Below are 20,369 nucleotides of genomic sequence, written 5' to 3'. Positions count from 1 at the left end.
TTTAGTCCAGAAACATATTTATATTTTCCCCTAAAAGAGCATTGATATTACCAGTACACCAAGCTTCACAGAGTTTGGTTTCTTTGTTTTTGAGTGTTTCTAATCTACTTTTCCTACAGAAATCAAATTTAAAGTGTATTACACGACATTTATTTTTTAAACCATAGGGAAATAAGGAACAGCTCAGAGTCAGTTTTGTGCAGCAGTGTGAAGACAAGTTTTGGATTATCTCTAATACTTGCTGTGTGACTGTAAGCAAAGAATATAACTTCTTTGAGACTCAGTTTCCTAAACTATAAAATAGAATAATATCTAGTATGTATGAAGTATGTATGATTAGTACGAAGATTGAAAACACTAATGTATGGCTGTGCTAAACACTGTGAATAATGGACAATAAACAAAAAACAATTTCTAATTTTCCTCTTCCTTTTCCTTCTTCTTCCTTCTCTCCCTCTTGTTCTTCTGATGAGTGGAATGAATGCTGAACTGCAGCATTGATGTCCCAGATCATGTACTGACATCAGTTATGCAACTTATTAACTGAGAGACCTGAAAAAAACTGTTCAACCTAATCCTGAGTTGCCTCAAGGTCCTCATTTGTAAAAGGAGAGTCATGATATTTGCATTGCCTTTTGAATAGAAGCATGGTGAATATTAACTTAGATTAACTGTTGTGACTCAACAAAAATAATTCCCAGCAAACAAGAGCAACAAATTGGAGACGTATCTTTAAATATTCATTTGTATGTGAGAAAGCAAAGATATCACAGAATTAAGGCAATTTATTTAAGCTTTGTCCCCCATAAGGCACCTAGAATAAAAAACAATCTCCACTTTCTTCCCTCTAGAAATCCTTAACTTTGGCTGTAGTTAGACTAGTAAATAAATGAATATAAATATATATTCATATTCATATATATTAATATTTTACAAATTATATATTATATATTTAATATTGTAATAATTACATATTATTATATTCAAATATATAATATATAAAAACATTTTTATTAGTCTGCAGCTAATATATATATATAGGCTGTAGTTACACACATATATATGTATATGAAGCTCAAGCTCCTTTCTTTATAATCCATTGCTTTTTAATTTGAAAAAATCTATATATTATGTGTGCTAGCTTACTAATGTAAAAATTGACTATATAAGTTGTGTAAAGTACAGAAATGTCAAACAACAGTTTTTCTCAAAAGTATTAGAAATAAAGGCAAACATGACATTAAAAATTTCTGATTGCAATTGGGAGTTGTCTCTTTCATTTATTACCTCTCTAGGTCTCAGTTTCTTCTATGAGGGAGCTGGACCATTGAAAACCCATTCTCTCTTTATAATGCCAGGAGCCTCTGATTTAAAATCTGGGTTGTGGTTTGCTCCAGAATAGAATAACCCTTTGCCTATAGCAATTGCATACTGTAATATATATATATACACACCATGCTACATACTTTACCAACAGTAACTTGAAATTGAATGTTTGCCAATAAAACACTGTAATCATCACATTCTTACTTCACTTTAAAAGGACCAACACACATATCAATCCTCACTCATTATGACAAACTTGGAAATATATTTACAGACCTGCCCCAGGCACTGAAATTAGTCAATAACAGTTATAAAGCACCCATTATCTATGAGCTGAATTATAGCATGTGGTAAATTACGATGAAAGTGGAATAGAGAAGTCCTATTCTTAAACGATAACAAAAAATCCATACAAATATAAACACCAGAAAGGTCTTAAGTTCGTAAGTTCACAGAAAGTAACATAAATACTGATTGAGTAGAAAAGAATCAGTTGCAATACTAATAAAGTGCCATGTGCACACATATTTTCTTTCTCCTTCTGGGTCTTTGTGCATGCCTGGAAAATTTCTTCCAGGACGTTTTTTAACATACCTGGTGAGTTTTGCACATGCCTAAAAAACTTCTTCACCTCCCTTTTGCTGAATTCATATGCAGAAATTCTTGTTGAATTCAGTCTGAGTTCAGGTCCCTTCCTTGTGCTCCCAGACACCCCTTAACAATTCTAAACTTTTCATTTCACCATGGCTCTTGTCACATTATATTATAGGTACAGTAGGCCCCCTTAACCTCAGGAGAATACATTCCAAGACCCTTAGTGAATGCTTGAACCACATATAGTACCAAACCCAAATGACATCAATCGGAACACATTTGTGTTCATATCTTCCACCCACAAATTTAATGCCTTTTCCATCTTAACTAAGCAATTATCACACACCGTGGCTGTAACTTTTGCAGTCTGAGGTGTGACAGCTTAAACTAGCACAGATTTCTCTTTCCTTCTTCACAATTTTACAAATAGAAGGTATGTTCTTACAGTAGATCTTGGAAACCTCAATAAAATTTTCTTTCCTAATTAACTCAAAACTTTCATCTTTTCAATTAAAGAAATCACTTTACAGCTTTTCTCTGGCATATCTGAATTGCCAGCCTCATAACTTTTGCATTTTGGGACCATTATTAAGTAACATAAGAGTTGAAAACATGCACCAAATTACCATGAAAGTCCTTCTGATAACTGAGATGGATCCTAAGTGGCTAACAGGCACCTACAGTGTGAATAAACTGGACATACGGATGATTCACATCCTGGGCAGGACAGAATGAGATCTCATCAAGTCACTCAGAATGATGCACAATTTTACACTTATTGATTGTTTCTAAAATTTTCCATTCAATATTTTTGGACCACGATGATCATTGATAACAAATTGTGGAAAGGAAAAGTGTGGATTCAGGAAGACTACTGTACTTCTTAATTATTTCTCAGACTGGGCACAGGAGCTCACGACTGTAATCCCAGCACTTTGGGAGGCTGAGGCAGAAGGATCGCTTAAGCCCAAGAGTTCAAGACCACCCTGGTCAACATAGCATAATCCTGTGTGAACAAACAATACAAAAATTATCTGGGCATGATGGTGTGTGCCTGTAGTACACCTACTCAAGAGACTGAGATGAGAGGATTGCTTGAGTCCAGAAGTTTGAGGCTGCAGTAAGCTATGATCATACCACTGGACTCCAGCCTGAGTGACAGACTGAGAACCTGTCTCTCTCTCTTACTTCTCTCTCTCATATATATATATATATATATATACACACACACACACACATACACATATATTCATATCTATGTGTATATATATTCATATCTATGTGTATATATATTCATATCTATGTGTATATATATTCATATGTATGTATATATACATATATACACATATATACATATCTTTCATATATATGAGACATATACATGTGTGTGTGTGTGTGTGTGTGTGTGTGTGTGTGTGTGTGTGTGTATTTCTCTCCTGACACTCTGTTATGCCAAAGACACTTTAAAAGTAGTCATCAAGTTCCTGGCACCTAGCCCAGTTCCTAGCACACATTGAGCCTGCAATGAATTTTGTGAAAATGAATAAAATTACCATCATCAGAAAGGGTGAATAAAAGAGTCTCAAAGAAAACAAAGACATAGATTAGCAAAGAAGATGATAGAAAATTTTCAGTTGGGAAAAGTAACAAATTAAAGCTTAAAAGCGAAAAGTGATGAGGGAAAGTAGGGAGTTTTAACTGCAAGAGCAAAACATTAAGAGTTAGAAGGATATAAGAAATGATGGTAATTATGAGAATTTCCAAAATAAAAGTCAAAACCAGGATAAGAAATGAAAGAGAATAAGAAGTTAATACACCATAGTCATGCACTGAATAATGATGTTTCAATCAATGGTGGACTGAATAAACACAGGTGGTCTCAAAAGATTATAACGAAGCCAAAATTTTCCTATCGCCTAGGGATGTCATGGCTGTCATAATGTCATAGCTGTCATAACATCATAGCTGTCAAAATGTCTTGCATAAGACATTACTCACATGTTTTGTGTTGATGCTGATATAAAAATAGCTACTATGCTGCCACTCATGTAAAAGTATAGCATAGGCCGGGCACAGTGACTCACGCCTGTAATCCTAGCACTTTGGGAGGCCAAGGCGGGCGGATCACCTGAGGTCAGGAGTTCGAGACCAGCATGGCCAACATGGTGAAACACCATCTCTACTAAAACCTACAAAAATTAGCCAGGTGTGGTGGTGGGAGTCTGTAGTCCCAGCTACTTGGGAGGCTGAGGCAGGAGAATCACTTGAACCTGGGAGGCAGAGGTTGCAGTGAGCTGAGATCATGCCACTATACTTCAGCCTGGGCAACAAGGGGAAACTCCATCTCAAAAAAAAAAAAAAAAAAAAGAAAAAAAAGCAAAGCACATACAATTATGTAAAGTACGTAATATTTGATAATAAAAACAATGATACTGTGTTACGTATTCAATATATTATACTTTTGTTATTTTATTCTTTTAAAGTTTTTTGTCATTTTTATTCTTTAAAAATAATTTTATTCTTAATTATTATGGATACATAATGGTTGTACCTATGTATGTGGTAAAAGTGATATTTTGATACAACAAAATAATGTGTAATGGATATTAGCATAATTGGGATATCATTCACATCCAGTATTCATAATTTTTGTGTTAAAATCATTACAATTTCACTCTTAATGATTTTGAAATGTACAATAAATTACTGTTAACCATTGTCACCCTATTGTGCTACCAAACACTAGATCTTATTCCTTCTATCAAACTGTAGTTTTGTACCCATTAACCATCCCGTTTATCCCTTTCTCTCTACTAGGTTTCCCATCCACTAGTAATCTTCATTCTATTCTCTATCTCCACAAGTTCAAATTACGTTTTGTATGTCTCACATATGAGTGAGAACATGCAATATTTATCTTTCTGTGCCTGGCTTATTTCATTTAACATAATTGCCTCCAGTTCCATCCATGTACTGCAAAAGATATTATTTCATTCTTTTTATGGTTGAATAATACTCTTATTATGTATAAGTACTATATTTTATTTATTCATTCATCTGTTGATGGACACTTAGATTGATTCCATATCTTGACTATTGTGAATAGTGCTGCAATAAACACAGAAGTTCAAATACATCTTTGATATATTGATTTCCTTTCTTTTGAATATACACCCAGCAGTGAGATAGCTGGACCATGTGGTAGTTTTATTTTTGCTTTTTTGAGGAACTTCCATACTGTTTTCCATACTGACTATAATAATTTACATTCCCAATAATAGTTTATGAGGGTTACCCATTCTCCACATCCATACCAGCATCCATTATTGTCAGTCTCTTTAATAAAAGCTATTTTAACTGGGTTGAGAGGATATATCATTGTAGTTTTGATTTGCATATCTCTGATGATTAGTGATGATGAACATTTTTTCATATACCTATTGGCCATTTTTATATCTTCTTTTGCAAGATGTCTATTCAGATCTTTGGCCCATTTTAAAATCAGATTTTTTTTTATTGCTATTCAGTTGTTAGAGCTCTTTACATATTTTGATTATTAATCATCAGATGAATAGTTTCCAAATATTTTTTCTCATTCTGTGGGCTGTATCTTCAGTTTGTAGATTGTTTCCTTCACTCTGCAGAAGGTTTTTAATTTGGTGTGATCCCATTTGTCTACTTTTGCTTTGGTTGCCTCCGCTTTTGAGGTTTTAGTCATGAAAACTTTGCCCAGGCCCATTTCCTAGAGCATTTTCCAAAGTTTTCTTTTTGCAATTTCATGGTTTAAGGTCTTAGGTGTAAATCTATTTTTTTTTTTTTTTTTTTTGAGATTGAGTCTCGCTCTGTTGCCAGGCTGGAGTGCAGTGGCATGATCTCGGCTCACTGCAGCCTCTTCCTCCCAAGTTCAAGCAATTCTCCTGCCTCAGCCTCCTGAGTAGCTGGGACTACAGGTGCGAGCCACCACACCCGGCTAATTTTTTTTTTTTTTTTTTTTTTTTTTTGGTAGAGACGGGGTTTCACCATGTTGGCCAGGATGGTCTCGATTTCCTGACCTCGTGATCTGCCCACTTTGGCCTCCCACAGTGCTGGGATTACAGGCTTGAGCCACTGCACCCTGCCAGATGTAAGTCTTTAATCAATTTGGATTTGATTTTTGAACATGATGAGAGATATGAGTCTAGTTTAATTTTTATGCATGTAGATATCCAGTTTCCCCAGCATCATTCATTGAAGAGACTGTATTTTCCCCAATTCATGTTCTTGGCAACTTTGTCAAAAATCAGTTTGTGGTATATGTATGGATTTATCCCTGGGTTTTGTTTATTCTGCTCCATCATCTATGCATCCATTTTTATGACAGTACCATGCTGTTGCTGTAGCCTTATAGTATAATTTGAAGTAAGGTAATGTTATGACTCCAGCTTTGTTCTTTCTGATCAGGATAGCTTTGGCTATTCTGAGTCTTCTGTAGTTCTACATAAATTTTAGGATTGTTTTTTCCATTTCTCTGAAGAATTTCATTGGTATTTTCATACAGATTGCACTGAATCTGTAGATTGCTTTGGGTAGTATAGACATTTTAACCACATTTATTCTTCCATTCTATAAACATGGAGTATCTTTCCATGTTTTTGTGTCCTCTTCAATTTCTTTCATCAATGTTTTATAGTTTTTTATAGAGATATTTCACTTATTTGGTTAAGTTTATTCCAAAGTATTTAATTTTATCTATAGCTATGGTAAATGGGATTACTTTTTTGGTTTCTTTTTAGATAGTTTATTGTTGACATAGAAATGCCACTGAATTTGTATGTTAACTTCGTGTCCTGAAACTTTACTAAATTTGTTTATCAGTTCTAATTGTTTTTTTGGTGGAGTACTTAGGTTTTTCTAAATATAAGGCTATAACATCTGCAAGGAAGGATATTTTTAATTCCTTTCCAATTCGGATGCCTTTATTTCTTTCTCTTGTCTAATTGTTCTGGCAAGGACTTCCACTACTAAGTGAAATAAAAGTAGTGAAAGTGGGCATCATTCTCTTATTCTGGATCTTAGAAAAAAAGGCTTTCAGTTTTTCCCACTCAGCATAATACTAGCTGTGGTTCTGTTTTGTAAGGTAGTTATCAGGTTGGTTCCTTCTATACCCAGTTTTTTGAGAGTTTTTCTCATGAAGGTATGTTGAATTTTACCAAGTACTTTTTGGGTATCTATTGAAAGGATCATATAGATTTTCTCCTTCATTCTGTTAAAGTAATGTATCACAATGATTGATTTGCATATGTTGAACCATCGTTGCATCCCTGGGATGAATCCCACTTGTTCTTGATAAGTGATCTTTTTAATGTGTTGTTGAATTCAGTTTGCTAATATTTCATTGAAGATTTTGGAATCTATGATCATCAGAAATAGTAGCATGTACTTATCTGTTTTTTCTTTGCCTGGTTTTGCTATCAGGATAATACTAGCCTTGTAGAAAGAGTTTGAAATTATTCCCTCCTCCTAAATTTTCTGAAATAGTTTGAGTAGGATTCTCCAGTGAAGCAATTAGGTCCTTGGCTTTTCTTTGATAGGAGGCTTTTTATTACAGCTTTGATCCCATTATTTATTATTGGTCTGTTCCAGATATAAAGTTATTCATAGTTCAACACTGGTAGGTTGGACATGTCTAGGAATTTATCCATTTCTTCCAGGTTTTCCAATTTATTGGCATATAGTTACTCATAGTATAGTTGCTCAAAACAATCTTTTGAATTTCTTAGCTATCGGTTGTAATGTCTCCTTTTTCAACTCTGATTTTATTTATTTGGGTCTTCTCTCTGATTTTTTTTTTTTTTTTTTTTAGTCTGGCTGAAATTTTTTCACTTTTGTTTATCTTTCCCCCAAAAACCTTCTTTACTTGCTTTTGTGTTGTCTTTGTTTGTTTCAATCCCATTTACTTCTGCTCTGATATTTATTATTTATTTTCTTCTACTAAGATTGAGTTTGGTTGCCCTTGCATTTCTACTTCTTTAAGATGAATCATTAGGTTGTTTTTTGGAAGTTGTACTTTTGATGAAGGCATTTATTGTTCTAAGCTTCCCTCTCACTACTGTTTTTGCAGTGTCATATTGGTTTTGGTATGTTGCGTGTCCATTTTCATTTGTTTCTAGAATTGAAAAAACTTCCTTCTTAACTTCTCCAATGACCCAGTGGTCATTCAGGAGAATAATGTTTAACTTTCAAGTGTTTGTAGAGTTTCCAAAGTTTCTCTGGTTACAACTCTCTAGTTTTATTCCACTGTAGTCAGAAAAGATACTTGATATAATTTCAGTGTTTTTTTTTAAATTAAGACATCTTTAGTGGACTTATATATGGTCTATCATTGAGAATGTTCCATGTGCTTAGGAGAAGAATGTGCATTCTGCATTTGTTGGATAAAATATTCTGTAAATGTCTATTAGATTCACTTGATCTATAAATTAGGTTCCATGTTGATTTGTTGATTTCTTATCTGGGTGATATGTCCAGTGCTGAAAATGGTGTGTTGAAGTCCACAGCTATTATTGTATTGGGGTCTCTATCTTTAGTTCCAATAATGTTTGCTTTACATATCTGGGTACTCTAGCATTCAGAGCATGAATATTTACAATTGTTGAATCCTCCAGCTTAATTTACCTATTTATCATTATATGATATTTTCTTTGTCTCTTTTTACAGTTTTTGTCTTGAAATCTATTTTATCTAACATAAATACAGTCCTGCTCTTTTTTGGTTTCTATTAGCGTTGAATATATTTTCTATCCCTTCATTTTCAGTTTAGTGTGTCTTTATATGTGAGGTGAGTTTCTTGTTGGTAGCATTTAACTGGATCTTGTTTTTGTTTTTAATCTGAAAGGATACTTAATCTAAAAGCAGCAAAAGAGGCAAATAACATATAAAGGAGCTCTTATATGTCTGGCAGCAGACATCCCAGTGGAAATCTTACAGGATAGGCTAGAGTAGGATGAAATATTCAAAGTGCTGAAGGAAAAAAAAAATACTTCCAACCTAGAATATTATATCCACCACAATTATCCTTCGAACATGAGGGAGAAATACTTTCCCAGACAAACAAAAGCTGAGGTATTTTATAAACACCAGGCCTATGTTACAAAAAATGCTAAGGAAGTTCTTCACTCTGAAAGAAATGTATGTTAACAAGCAACAATAAATTACCTGAAGTTATAAAAACTCACTGGTAAAGGTAAGTGACAGAGAAATATAAAATCCTATAACACTTTAATTGTTGTGTGTAAAATACTTATATCTTTAGTAGGAAGATTAAAAGACAAACCAATCAAAAATAATAGGTACAACAATTTTTAAGAAATAGACAATCCAGCAAGACAAGACGTGGAGGTGGCAGACAATGATAATGATGATCCTAACCCTGCGTAGGCCTAGGCTAATGTATGTGTTTGCATCTTTTTTTTTTTTTTTTTTTTTTTTTGAGTCAGAGTCTCGCTCTGTCACCCAGGCTGGAGTGCAATGGCGCGATCTCAGCTCATTGCAACCTCCGCCTCCCAGATTCAAGCAATTCTCCTTCCTTAGCCTCCCAAGTGGCTGGGATTACAGGCACCCGCCACCATGTCCAGCTAATTTTTGTATTTTTAGTAGATACGGGGTTTCCCTGTGTTGGCAGGGCTGGTCTTGAACTCCTGATCTTGTGATCTGCCCGCCTCGGCCCCCCAAAGTGCTGGGATTACAGGCGTGAGTCACCGTGCCCAGTGCATCTTCATTTTTAGCAAAAAAAATTGAAAATTTTAAGAAAGCATTAAAAATAGAACAAAAGCATATAGAATAAGAATATACAAACAGGAAATATTTTTGTACAGCTGTACAATGTGTCTGTGTTTTAAGCTGAATGTTATTACAACAGAATCAATAAGAAAATAATAAAAAGTTTGTAAAGTATAAAAGATAGAGTCAATTAAGATTAACTTATTATTGATGAAAGAAAAATATGTTTTATAAATGTAGGCTTAAGTTTACAGTGTTTATAAAGTCCATAGTAGTTTACAGTAATGTCCTAGTTCTTTGCATTCACTCACCACACACTTACTGACTCACGCAGAACAACTTCCAACTCTGCAAGATCCATTCATGGTAAGGGCCCTACAGAGATGTACCATTTCTAATCTTTTATATCATATTTTTCTGTACCTTTTCCATGTTTAGATATGTTGAAATATACAAACACTTACCATCGTGTTCCAATTGCCTGCAATATTCAGTATAGTAATATGCTCTACAGGTTTACAGCCTAGGAGCAATAGGCTATACCATACAGACTAGATGTTCAGTAAGCTATACTGTAAAACCCAGGATTGCAGTAAGCTATAACCTCTATATTTTTATACTCTATAATGTTTGCTCTATGAAGTACACTCTATGGTGTTCACGCAACAACAAAAATCAGTTAAGATATGTTTCTCAGAATGTATCCCCATTATTAAGTGACGCATGACTGTAGTTTAAAACACACATTACAAAAACAAAAAGCACTGGTGAACCTCACTGAAGAACTTCACTGCAAAGCTGTGAAAATGAAACTGACATAATTATAAAAATTATCATGAAGATTTTCAGAAGCTTGAAAGGCTCACAGTCAGTGAGTCCTCTATATGCATTTTGAGCCATTTCTGTAAAAATTACTGAGCACATTTTTAAGAAACTTATATGGCACAACGGTAAACATTATATTCAACCACATCACCTATTCATGTTTCCAAAATCCCACTTCTAAGTGATTTCAAAAAGAAAGTTGGCAAAAGAGATTTCAAATACTATCATTTATCACTCGGTTGGAGAATATCACTTATAAACTACTCAAGGGGAAAAAACTAATTTTGCAGGTTCAACTTGTAAGGTCAGCTACTGAAGTGATTATTATTATTATTTAGTTCTGATTTTCAAAGGAAGACATTTGTGAAAATTTGAAAAAAATTATAAAGTGGTTTTCAAAGCATGAATGTTGGCATTACATGTCATAAAACATGGAAACCTTGGTATATAAAATGTTACAAATACATTGAATTACACAACTTTGGTACTTAATTGTTTTTAATAAATAGCATATCACAGCGAGAGCAAAATAACTTGATTGAAACCATAGATTTTAACCATGGATATCATGTAGAGAAAATAAAAAGGAGCAAAGAAGTAAAAAAAAAAAAAGAGAGAGAAAAGAGTTAGAATACTTAGATACACAATCATTGAAGACATTATTAGAGCAGAGATCAAAAATATGTGCTCCACAGAGACTGGATCCAGTATGTCAAAAATCCAAAGAGTTGAAGAGAAATTCTATGTTCAGCTACCTGGGTGGATCTTTGAAATTATAGTTCCAAGAAATAGATGGATGTGCTTTTTTTTTTTTTCAAATACATACTCTGATGGGCACTTATTGCATGCATTTTAGAGTAAAGCTAACCTAGTTCCCACCTAGTTCTACACCCGTTGTTTAAACTGTTTCAGTCTGTTTCATCATCCATAAAATGGTGCTAAGTAACAGTTTTTGAAGGAATCAAATGAGATAATATTAAAATTTCAACATACTGTCAGGCAAGTAATAAGATGGTTTAGTCTCTCACTATCTCACTATCACCCCAACAAAATTCCCCAATCCTGGCCAACCATCCAAAATCAGACAAATATGTTCAACTGTTGGGAACTAATGGCACATAAAATTTTCTGAGTTTAGCCTATTTTTTAAAAGTTTATTTCTTGATTATAATAAAGCCATCAATAGGATAAGAGTGATAAAGTTTGCAACATGATATTATGAGTTATATGGCATTAGAACCAGGCATTTTATAATATCATTTTATAGAGCAGATATTCCTCTTTAAATTTGGAACTTATGTTGGTTGGTTGTGGCCAAGAAATCCCAGGTTGGGGTTTTTTGATCATGCATGCTTAATACTTGTGAGTTCTCCAAGAAATAAGATATATAGGTAAACTAGGAAAGTAGGGGAAAGGTATACACATATAAGAAATATGGGTAGAGATAAATTAAACAAGATTCTTTTGTGCTTAGGTATACTGGCCCAACATATTGTATTTTCTCTCTTCTGGATCTCAGTGATACCATTAACCCAGCTGCTAGAGACAGAAACTTAGAATTTATCTTTGTTTCCACCAACACATTTTCCAGAGAGTCACCAGGTTTGATAAATTCTGTGTCCTAACTGTCATTGAACTCTATCGCCTAAACTTTCCATTTCCTCTAGGTGAGGCCATTTTCATCTCTTGCCTGGAGAACAATTCCCTAAATACAGTCTTTCTTCTCTCTCATCTATGGTCTTATATCTCCTATAGTGGTCTTCCTAAAACATAGCAATCATGCCAGTTCCATGCTCACATACGTTCAATGGCCCCACAGCCTGCCCAATAATGTCAACATGTTACCAGCAAAATTTTTTATCCTGCTGACTCCAAACCCTTCATTAACATTTAACTCATTTAACTCCTCTGTAAAGGCTTCTCTGATGTCCCCAAGTGTACTTAATATTAGAAATCTAAGAATATATCATACATACATAATCATATTTATTTTTCTATATGTTTGTTTTTTAAAAGTCAAAAAAACATTGAGGCCTACTCAGAACTTTGCACTGGGATTGACAAAAGTATCCTGTAGATACTACTAACTAAACTTTTAATTCTCTTATTACTTTTTTATTATGTGGCATACAAAATTTTAAGAAAATTGACATTGTTAGAGAACAAGGAAAATAACTGTTTCAGAGAGCTAGAGTGATGTCAGCAAGAGGCTAACTAGACTTATTTGGCTCTCATCCCCTGACAAAAAGGAAACAAAACAACAAATAAACAACTACAACTACTGTTTGACTGCAGTGACTGAGGAAGTATGTTATGAAGCAACACGGAAATGACAAAATACCTCTGGACCACAGAAACCTAGTATACCAACATAGAGAGGAGAGCAAAGCATTCTGCCTTGGCCACACTATCTCTCCTGCAGGGATCAGATTGGAGTCAAAGGGGACTTATTCTTGCAGCAAAAAGGTAATCTAGAGACCCTTGGTGGTCCCCATCACTGCCACAGATGTGAGTGGCACATTTTATTGCTACAGGAGGGTCCCCCAGTCCTCACAGGCCCCAAGCTCAGTGTGGAAAGTTGTTGGGAGTCCATGTGGATACATTGCTCCAGAGCAGAAACCCCCATCGTATGCTCTACTCTGACAACCTGAGCTGATACACCATGGTGCCATCTTGAAACTAGACCCACAGGTGCAACGCGTCCTGCCCTGGGAGCCAATGACCACCAACCTCGTCCATTCCTAAGACGCTACTGTCATTCCACTAAGTTAACATGCATGCCTGCAGTAGCAATTCCCCTACCTTCTGCAACCTAGGAAGGAATGACCAAGACCTTAATGGCTGAAACCATGAGGTACCCTATCCCCCAGAAAAACAGGTGGATCTGCACAACAGGGAACTCTCACCCAGAAAACTAGCCCACATGTTCCCACCCCTGGCTCAACAACCTGCTTAAAGGAGGCCTTGCCCCATCAAAATAAGCTCCCACTTAACTTCCTGGCCTGAACACACCCAGCCCTGGGCTGAAAACCTGCATGGAGGTGGCCTTGCTCCACTGGAGAGATTGTAAAGTTGTCAAGCTTTGCATGCACCTTTTCTCAGCATGACAGTCACCAGGGGAAATGGTCTTGCCCTACCAGAGAGAAACCTAGACAGCCAGCCAAGAGGTGCCCTGCCTTCCCTAGGAAAAAGCCCTCCTCAGCTGCCTAACTCTCATGTGCCCATCCTTGTCCTGACAGCAGGACTGAAGGTGGCCCCAGCCTACTGGAGAGAGCCAGTACAGCCACTCAGCCCATGCTGGCAGGAGAGCCAGCCCAGAGGTGGCCCACCTGAACATAGAAAATCCTGCACAGCTGCCAGGCTCTCATTTGCCTGCCAGCAACAAAACAGCCAGCCTGGAGGTGGTCCATCTTGCTGAAGAGAGTCCTGCACAGCCATTCAGTCAGCCCTTGGCCCAGTGCTTAGGTTTATTAACCCAGTGCTTAGGTATATTGACCCAACATATTGTATCTTCTCTCTTCTGGATCTCAGTGATACCATTAACCTAGTTGCTGTAAACAGAAATTTAGAATTTATCTTTGTTTCCACCATCACATTTTCCAAAAAGTCACTAGCCTGGAGGCAGCCCCACTCCCCCTGGCCCGAGGGCAGTCCCACTTCCCCACCTGCAGAGAGAGCTTTCTGCCTGACAATCAGCCTAAGGGAGGCTTCATACCCCTGCAGAGCCTGACATATAAAAAACCCTAAAGACTCCCCCAAAAAAAAAAAAAAAAAAAAAAAAAAACCATTAGAACTAATAAACAAGTTCATTAAAATTGCAGGATAAAAAATCAATGCACCAAAATCAGTAGCATTTATATATGCCAATAACAGACTATCTAAAAAAGAAATCAAGAAAATAAGCAAGGAAGTAAAAGATCTCTCCACTGAAAATTATAAAATATTTATTAAATAAATTGAAGAAAACACAAACAAGTGAAGACATATTCAATGTTTACGGATTGGAAGAATCAATATTGTTATAATGCCAATTGCAACCAAAGAGATCTACAGAATTGATGCAATTCCTATCAAAATACCAATGACATTTCACAGAAATAGAAAAATAAATCCAAAAATGTATATGGAACCACAAAGACCTCAAATAGCCAAAGCAATGCTAAACAGAAAAAGAACAAAGCTGGAGGTATCACACTCATTACCTAACTTCAAAATATACCACAAGGCTATAGTAACCTAAACATCATGGCACTAGCATAAAAATGGAACACATAAATCAATGAAATGAATGGAAGCCCCTGAAATAAATTCGCCTACCTATAGCCAACTGATTTTCAACACAGGTACCAATAGGGCAAATTGGGGAAAACCCAGTCTCTTCAATAAATGGTGCTAGAATATGACAAAAACCCTTCTTCCCACCATATACAAAAATAAACTAAAAATAGTTTACATACATACATGTAAGACCTGAAACTATGAAACTACTAGAAGGAAACATAGGTAAATGCTTTACAACATTGGGGCTGGGCAAAGATTTTTAAAATACGACCTCAAAAGCTCTGCAACAAACTCAAAAATAGGCAAATTGAATTTCATCAAACTGAAAAGCTTTTGCATAGCAAAGGAAATGAGTGAAGGGACAACCTGCAGAATGTGAGAAAATATTAGCAAACTTCCCATCTGACATAATGTTAATATTCATAATATATAAACACTTTAAACAACTCAAAAACAAAATAACCCAATTTTTTTTTAAATCAGCAAAAGACCTTAATAGTCACTTTTCAAAAGAAGGCATACAAATATCCAAAGGTAAATGAAAAAAAACTCAACATCGCTATTCATCAGGGAAATGCTAATCAAAACCTCAACAAGATAACACCTGACTCTAGTTAGAATGGCCATTACCAAAGACAAAAGTGTCAGACAGGATATGGAGAAAGGGAACACTTACACATTGTTGTTGGGATTACAGATTAATAGAGCACTATGAAAAACATTATAGAGGTTCCTCATTAAATTAAAAATAGAATTACCATATGTTCTTGCAATCTCATTACTGGGCATATATCCAAAGAAAGTGAAATTAGTATGTTGAAAAGATGTCTTAACTCCCATGTTTATTGCAGCTCTATTCACAATAGCCAAGACGTGGAATCAACTCACGTGTCAAACAATGGATGAATATTTAAAGAAAATGTGGTATATATCATCAGTGGAATGCTATTCAACCATAAAAAAGATGAGACACAGAAAGACAAATACTCCATGATCTCACTATTATGTGGAATCTAAAAAAAAAAAAGTTGCTATTATGGAAGCAGAGAGTAGAACACTGGTTAACAGAGACTGGGGAAGGGAGGGGAAGATGGGAAGAGATTGATCAGATAGTACAAGATTACTATTAGAAGAAATAAGTTCTGATGCTCTATTGTACAGTAGGGTGATGATGGTTAACAATATCGTATAATGTATTACAAAATAGATCAAAAAGAGGCTTTTGAATGGTCTTACTATACAGAAATGATAAATTCATGAAGCGATAGATATGCTAAATACCCTGATTTGATTGTCATATGTATCAATAAATCAAATTGAACCTCATAAATATATACAATTACAATTTACCAATTAAAATTTTTAAAAAAATTGAAAAGAAAGTAACTCAGTAGTAAAGAGTATCCATTAACAAGGAAACAAGATAAGCCATAATTGACGGCAAGGAAAATACTGTAATTTCAATGATATTTCCACTGCAGTTTTATTAAGTAAATAAGCCAAGGAGCTATATGAATTATTTGTTAAGACACGCACACACATACACACACACACACAAAAACAGGTGTGTAGGTAAGTTTTCATAATTAAGGTATAAATGATTCATATAATAATAACAGACATATAGAGGTACCAAGCCGGATGTCAAGTAGAAGTGAAACTAGTGAAACTACAAAGCATTGTAATTATCTGCTGTGAATAACACTATCCCAAATTCTGAAAGAAGTATGTAACAAAATCATTAAATACAATCTTGTAATTAGAGTGTGCATAGATGTATACTTTTATGAGATTCCCATGAAATCTTAAATGCCATAACATTTTGAGGTAATATCTCAGCTTCCTTCATGTAAGTCCACTGTAAGTTCCAGTAGCACAAAACTACTTTTCAGACACAAAAAGTCATATTTTCATAGTCTCCCAAAACGAGTGGGACATGATAGCCATGTAAGCAACACCTGAAGCAAAACATTAAAAAGTTTAAATGTGGCCAGGTGCAGTGGCTCACACCTATAATCTCAGCACTTTGGGAGGCCGAGGTGAGTGGATCACCTGAGGCCAGGAGTTCGAGACCAGCCTGACCAACATGGAGAAACCCTGTCTCTACTAAACATACAAAATTAGCCAGGCGTGGTGGTGCATGGCTGTAATCCCAGCTATTCAGGAAGCTGAGGGAGGAGAATCACTTGAACCCGGCAGGCAGAGTTTATGGTGAGCAGAGATCACGCCAATGCACTGCAGCCTGGGCAACAAGAGTGAAACTCTGTCTCAAAAAAAAAAAAAAAAGTTTAAATGTACATTTAACACGATCATGGAAATATAAAATGAAGAACAATTAAAAGCTTCACACACATTCACACACATACACAGATATATATGACTAATTACATATAACGATTAATTGTTTAACAAATTCGGCAAAAACCCCTCAAGAGGAATGCTAAGGAAGGCATGAAAGGAGAGAAATATGCATGCTAACTGCCTGATGCAAGCATAGAATGATGAATTTACCAATTTGGGAATTTAATGACACTTTAAAAATCTACAGATAAAACCCTAGAACACTAAAGTTTAAGAAGAACCCCAAGACAATAGGATGATTTCCATCATTTTTTAAAAATGCAATGAAAATGTTCAAATGGTATTATTGGCATAGAGAAAAATGTATTTCCTCAAAACATCTTGAAATAAAATGATCAACCCTGAAAAGAGAAGTGTCCTTTCCAGCCACAGAGTGATCTAACACAGCTCTAATAACATTTGCAAGTAGAACCTAGTCACTCATGCTGAGAGGTAAAATCTTTTCCAAGTTTTAGCTTCTTCATGGTAGCTTCGAAAAAGGAAAAAATAATGCCAACTGTGATGTAGGAAGTTGGCAAATACTAACTAAACGAAAACAACATTTAACAGCTGTTCATGGGATAACAGCTTTCTCTAACTCCTACTGGGAGCCAAATGTACTAAGGTGAAGCTGAGGTAAAAGGTGAGGTTTCTTGTTATCTTTAGGAACATTCTATTCTTTTCACTTAATATCTTAAAACATTAATAAGACATGAACATATCCAGAATAAGCACAGTAACTATTACAATAACTTATAATTAACACTAAGTGGTTTGGTTTCAATTCATGAAGTATGAAGAAAAGTAGGTTCCAACAACAAATTAACTGTAGAGAATCTGAGAAAAAGGATAGTTTATCATTTTGTCTCATTAGGTTTTCTTTGATTTGTTATTACTTTTTATTTTTCTTTCTTTTCTTTTTTCTCTTTCTTCCTTTTCTTCTTCTTCTTCTTTTTTTTTAATAAAGTCAAAGTGGCATAACATGCTTTCCTAAAAAATGAGTCCAGGAGAATTACTTTTGTTCAACATCATAATGGGCACTACTTTCTACTGTGAATGTTTTCTTTCTGAAAGCTCCACTTCTACTTTCCTGCTGACTACCTACCAGCTAGTATTGTTAAAGAAAAGATGAAGGATTAAAGTATCCAGCCTTCCCCCAAGCAGCTAGTTCTTAAAATAGACGTTTCTGTAAAGTGAATGGCTGCTGTCTTTCCTACGGTGGCCAGATTTACAAAATGAGAAAATAAAGAGAGAGAACAAATGAAGAAAGAGACATAAACATAGCTTCTCTGGATGGATTTTTCAAGATAAGAGGCTGAATGGGGAGATACCTATGAAATTTTAAAAAATCACAGGATGACACTGAAAAATATAGTGTCTGACTCCCTTGGGCAATGAGGAGCTCACAACATGTGAACAACTTTGAGAAAAAGTACATCTAAAAATAGAGGCAAAAATGCCTCTGCTAAACTTGACTTTAAATATTTATTCCATGTATCCTTCAAATCTTTTCTAAAATATTTTAGTCTCCCTATATTTTAATGTGTCAACTAATTTTTATTTCCTTAACATTTTAAAAACTATAGAGGGCAAACATGACCCTATCTTCCGACTCCTAGTGCACACCTTGAGAGCAGTTCCTAGTTGCTGGTGTTAGATATGCCGGATTCATAAGTGTTCAATAAATATTTGATAATAGAATAATGAAAAAATAACACAATTATATTTCCTCTTTCTCCTAAAACATTTGCAATAAAATCAAGAAAGGGCATAAGTGAGACTATATATATATACACACACACATATTTATATGTATCATACATCTCATATATAGATATATATATTAGATATATATATATCACAGTTTCTTTATCCACTCGTTGATTGATGGGCATTTGGGTTGGTTCCACATTTTTGTAATTACGAATTGTGCTGCTATATAAATGCATGTGCAAGTATCTTTTTCATATAATGACTTATTTTCCTCTGGGTAGATACCCAGTAGTGGGATTGCTGGATCAAATGGTAGTTCTACTTTTACTTCTTTAAGGAATCTCCACACTGTTTTCCATAGTAATTGTACTAGTTTACATTCCTACCATCACTGTAGAAGTGTTCCCTGTTCACCGCATCCATGCGAACAACTATTTTTTTTTATTATTTTTTTTTTATTATGGCCATTCGTTCAGGAGTAAGGTGGTATCACACTGTGGTTCTGATTTGCATTTCCTTGATAATTAGTGTATGTAGAGCATGTTTTTCATGTTTGATGGCCATTTCTATATCTTCTTTTGAGAATTGTCTATTCATGTCCTTAGCCCACTTTTTGATGGGATTATTTGTTTTTTTTCTTGCTGATTTTTTTGAGTTAGTTATAGATTCTGGATATTAGTTCTTTGTCAGATGTATAGATTGTGAAGGTTTTCTCTCACTCTGTGGGTTGTCTGGTTACTCTGCTGACTGTTCTTTTTGGCATGCAAAAGCTCTTTAGTTTAATTAAGTCCCAGCTATTTATCTTTGTTTTTATTGCATTTGCTTTTGGGTTCTTGGTCATGAAATCCTTCCCTAAGCCAATCTCTAGAAGGGTTTTTCCAATGATTTCTTCTAGAGTGTTTATAGTTTCAAGTCTTAGGTTTAAGTCCTTGATCCATCTTGAGTTGATTTTTGTATAAGGTAAGAGAACAGAATCCAGTTTCATTTTCCTACGTGTGGCTAGCCAATTATCCCAGTACCATTTGTTGAATAGGGTGCCCTTTGCCCACTTTATGTTTTTGTTTGCTTTGTCAAAGATCAGTTGGCTGTAAGTATTTGGGTTTATTTCTGGGTTATCTATGCTGTCCCTTTGTTGTATATGCCTATTTTTATAACAGTACCATTCTGTTTTGGTGACAATGGCCTTATAGTAGTTGGAAATCAGTTAATGTGATGCCTTCAGATTTCTTCTTTTTGCTTAGTCTTGCTTTGGCTATGCGGGCTCTCTTTTGGTTCCTTATGAACTTTGGGATTGCTTTTTCTAATTCTGTGAAGAATGGTGGGGGTGTTGATGGGCATAGCATTGAATTTGTAGATTGTATTTGGCAGTATGGTCATTTTCACAATAATGATTCTACCCATCCATGAGCTTGGGATGTGTTTCCATTTGCTTGTGTCGTCTATGATTTCTTTCAGCAGTGTTTTGTAGTATCCTTTGTAGAGGTTTTTCACCTCCTTGGTTAGGTATAGTCCTAAGTATTTTATTTTATTTT

General features: G+C 35.1%; 1 protein-coding gene across 11 annotated transcripts in view; it reads right to left on the bottom strand.

The window, feature by feature from the left end:
• The window catches only part of NAALADL2 (N-acetylated alpha-linked acidic dipeptidase like 2), a 1,369,567-nt gene that overhangs the window by 951,426 nt on the left and 397,772 nt on the right, over positions 1 to 20,369 (bottom strand). The gene's annotated exons all lie outside the window — the stretch shown is intronic.

The sequence above is a fragment of the Homo sapiens genome, chromosome 3, assembly GCF_000001405.40.
Source record: "Homo sapiens chromosome 3, GRCh38.p14 Primary Assembly".
In the NCBI taxonomy this organism is placed as follows: Eukaryota; Metazoa; Chordata; class Mammalia; order Primates; family Hominidae; genus Homo; species Homo sapiens.
This window is presented reverse-complemented; position numbering and strand designations above follow the sequence as displayed.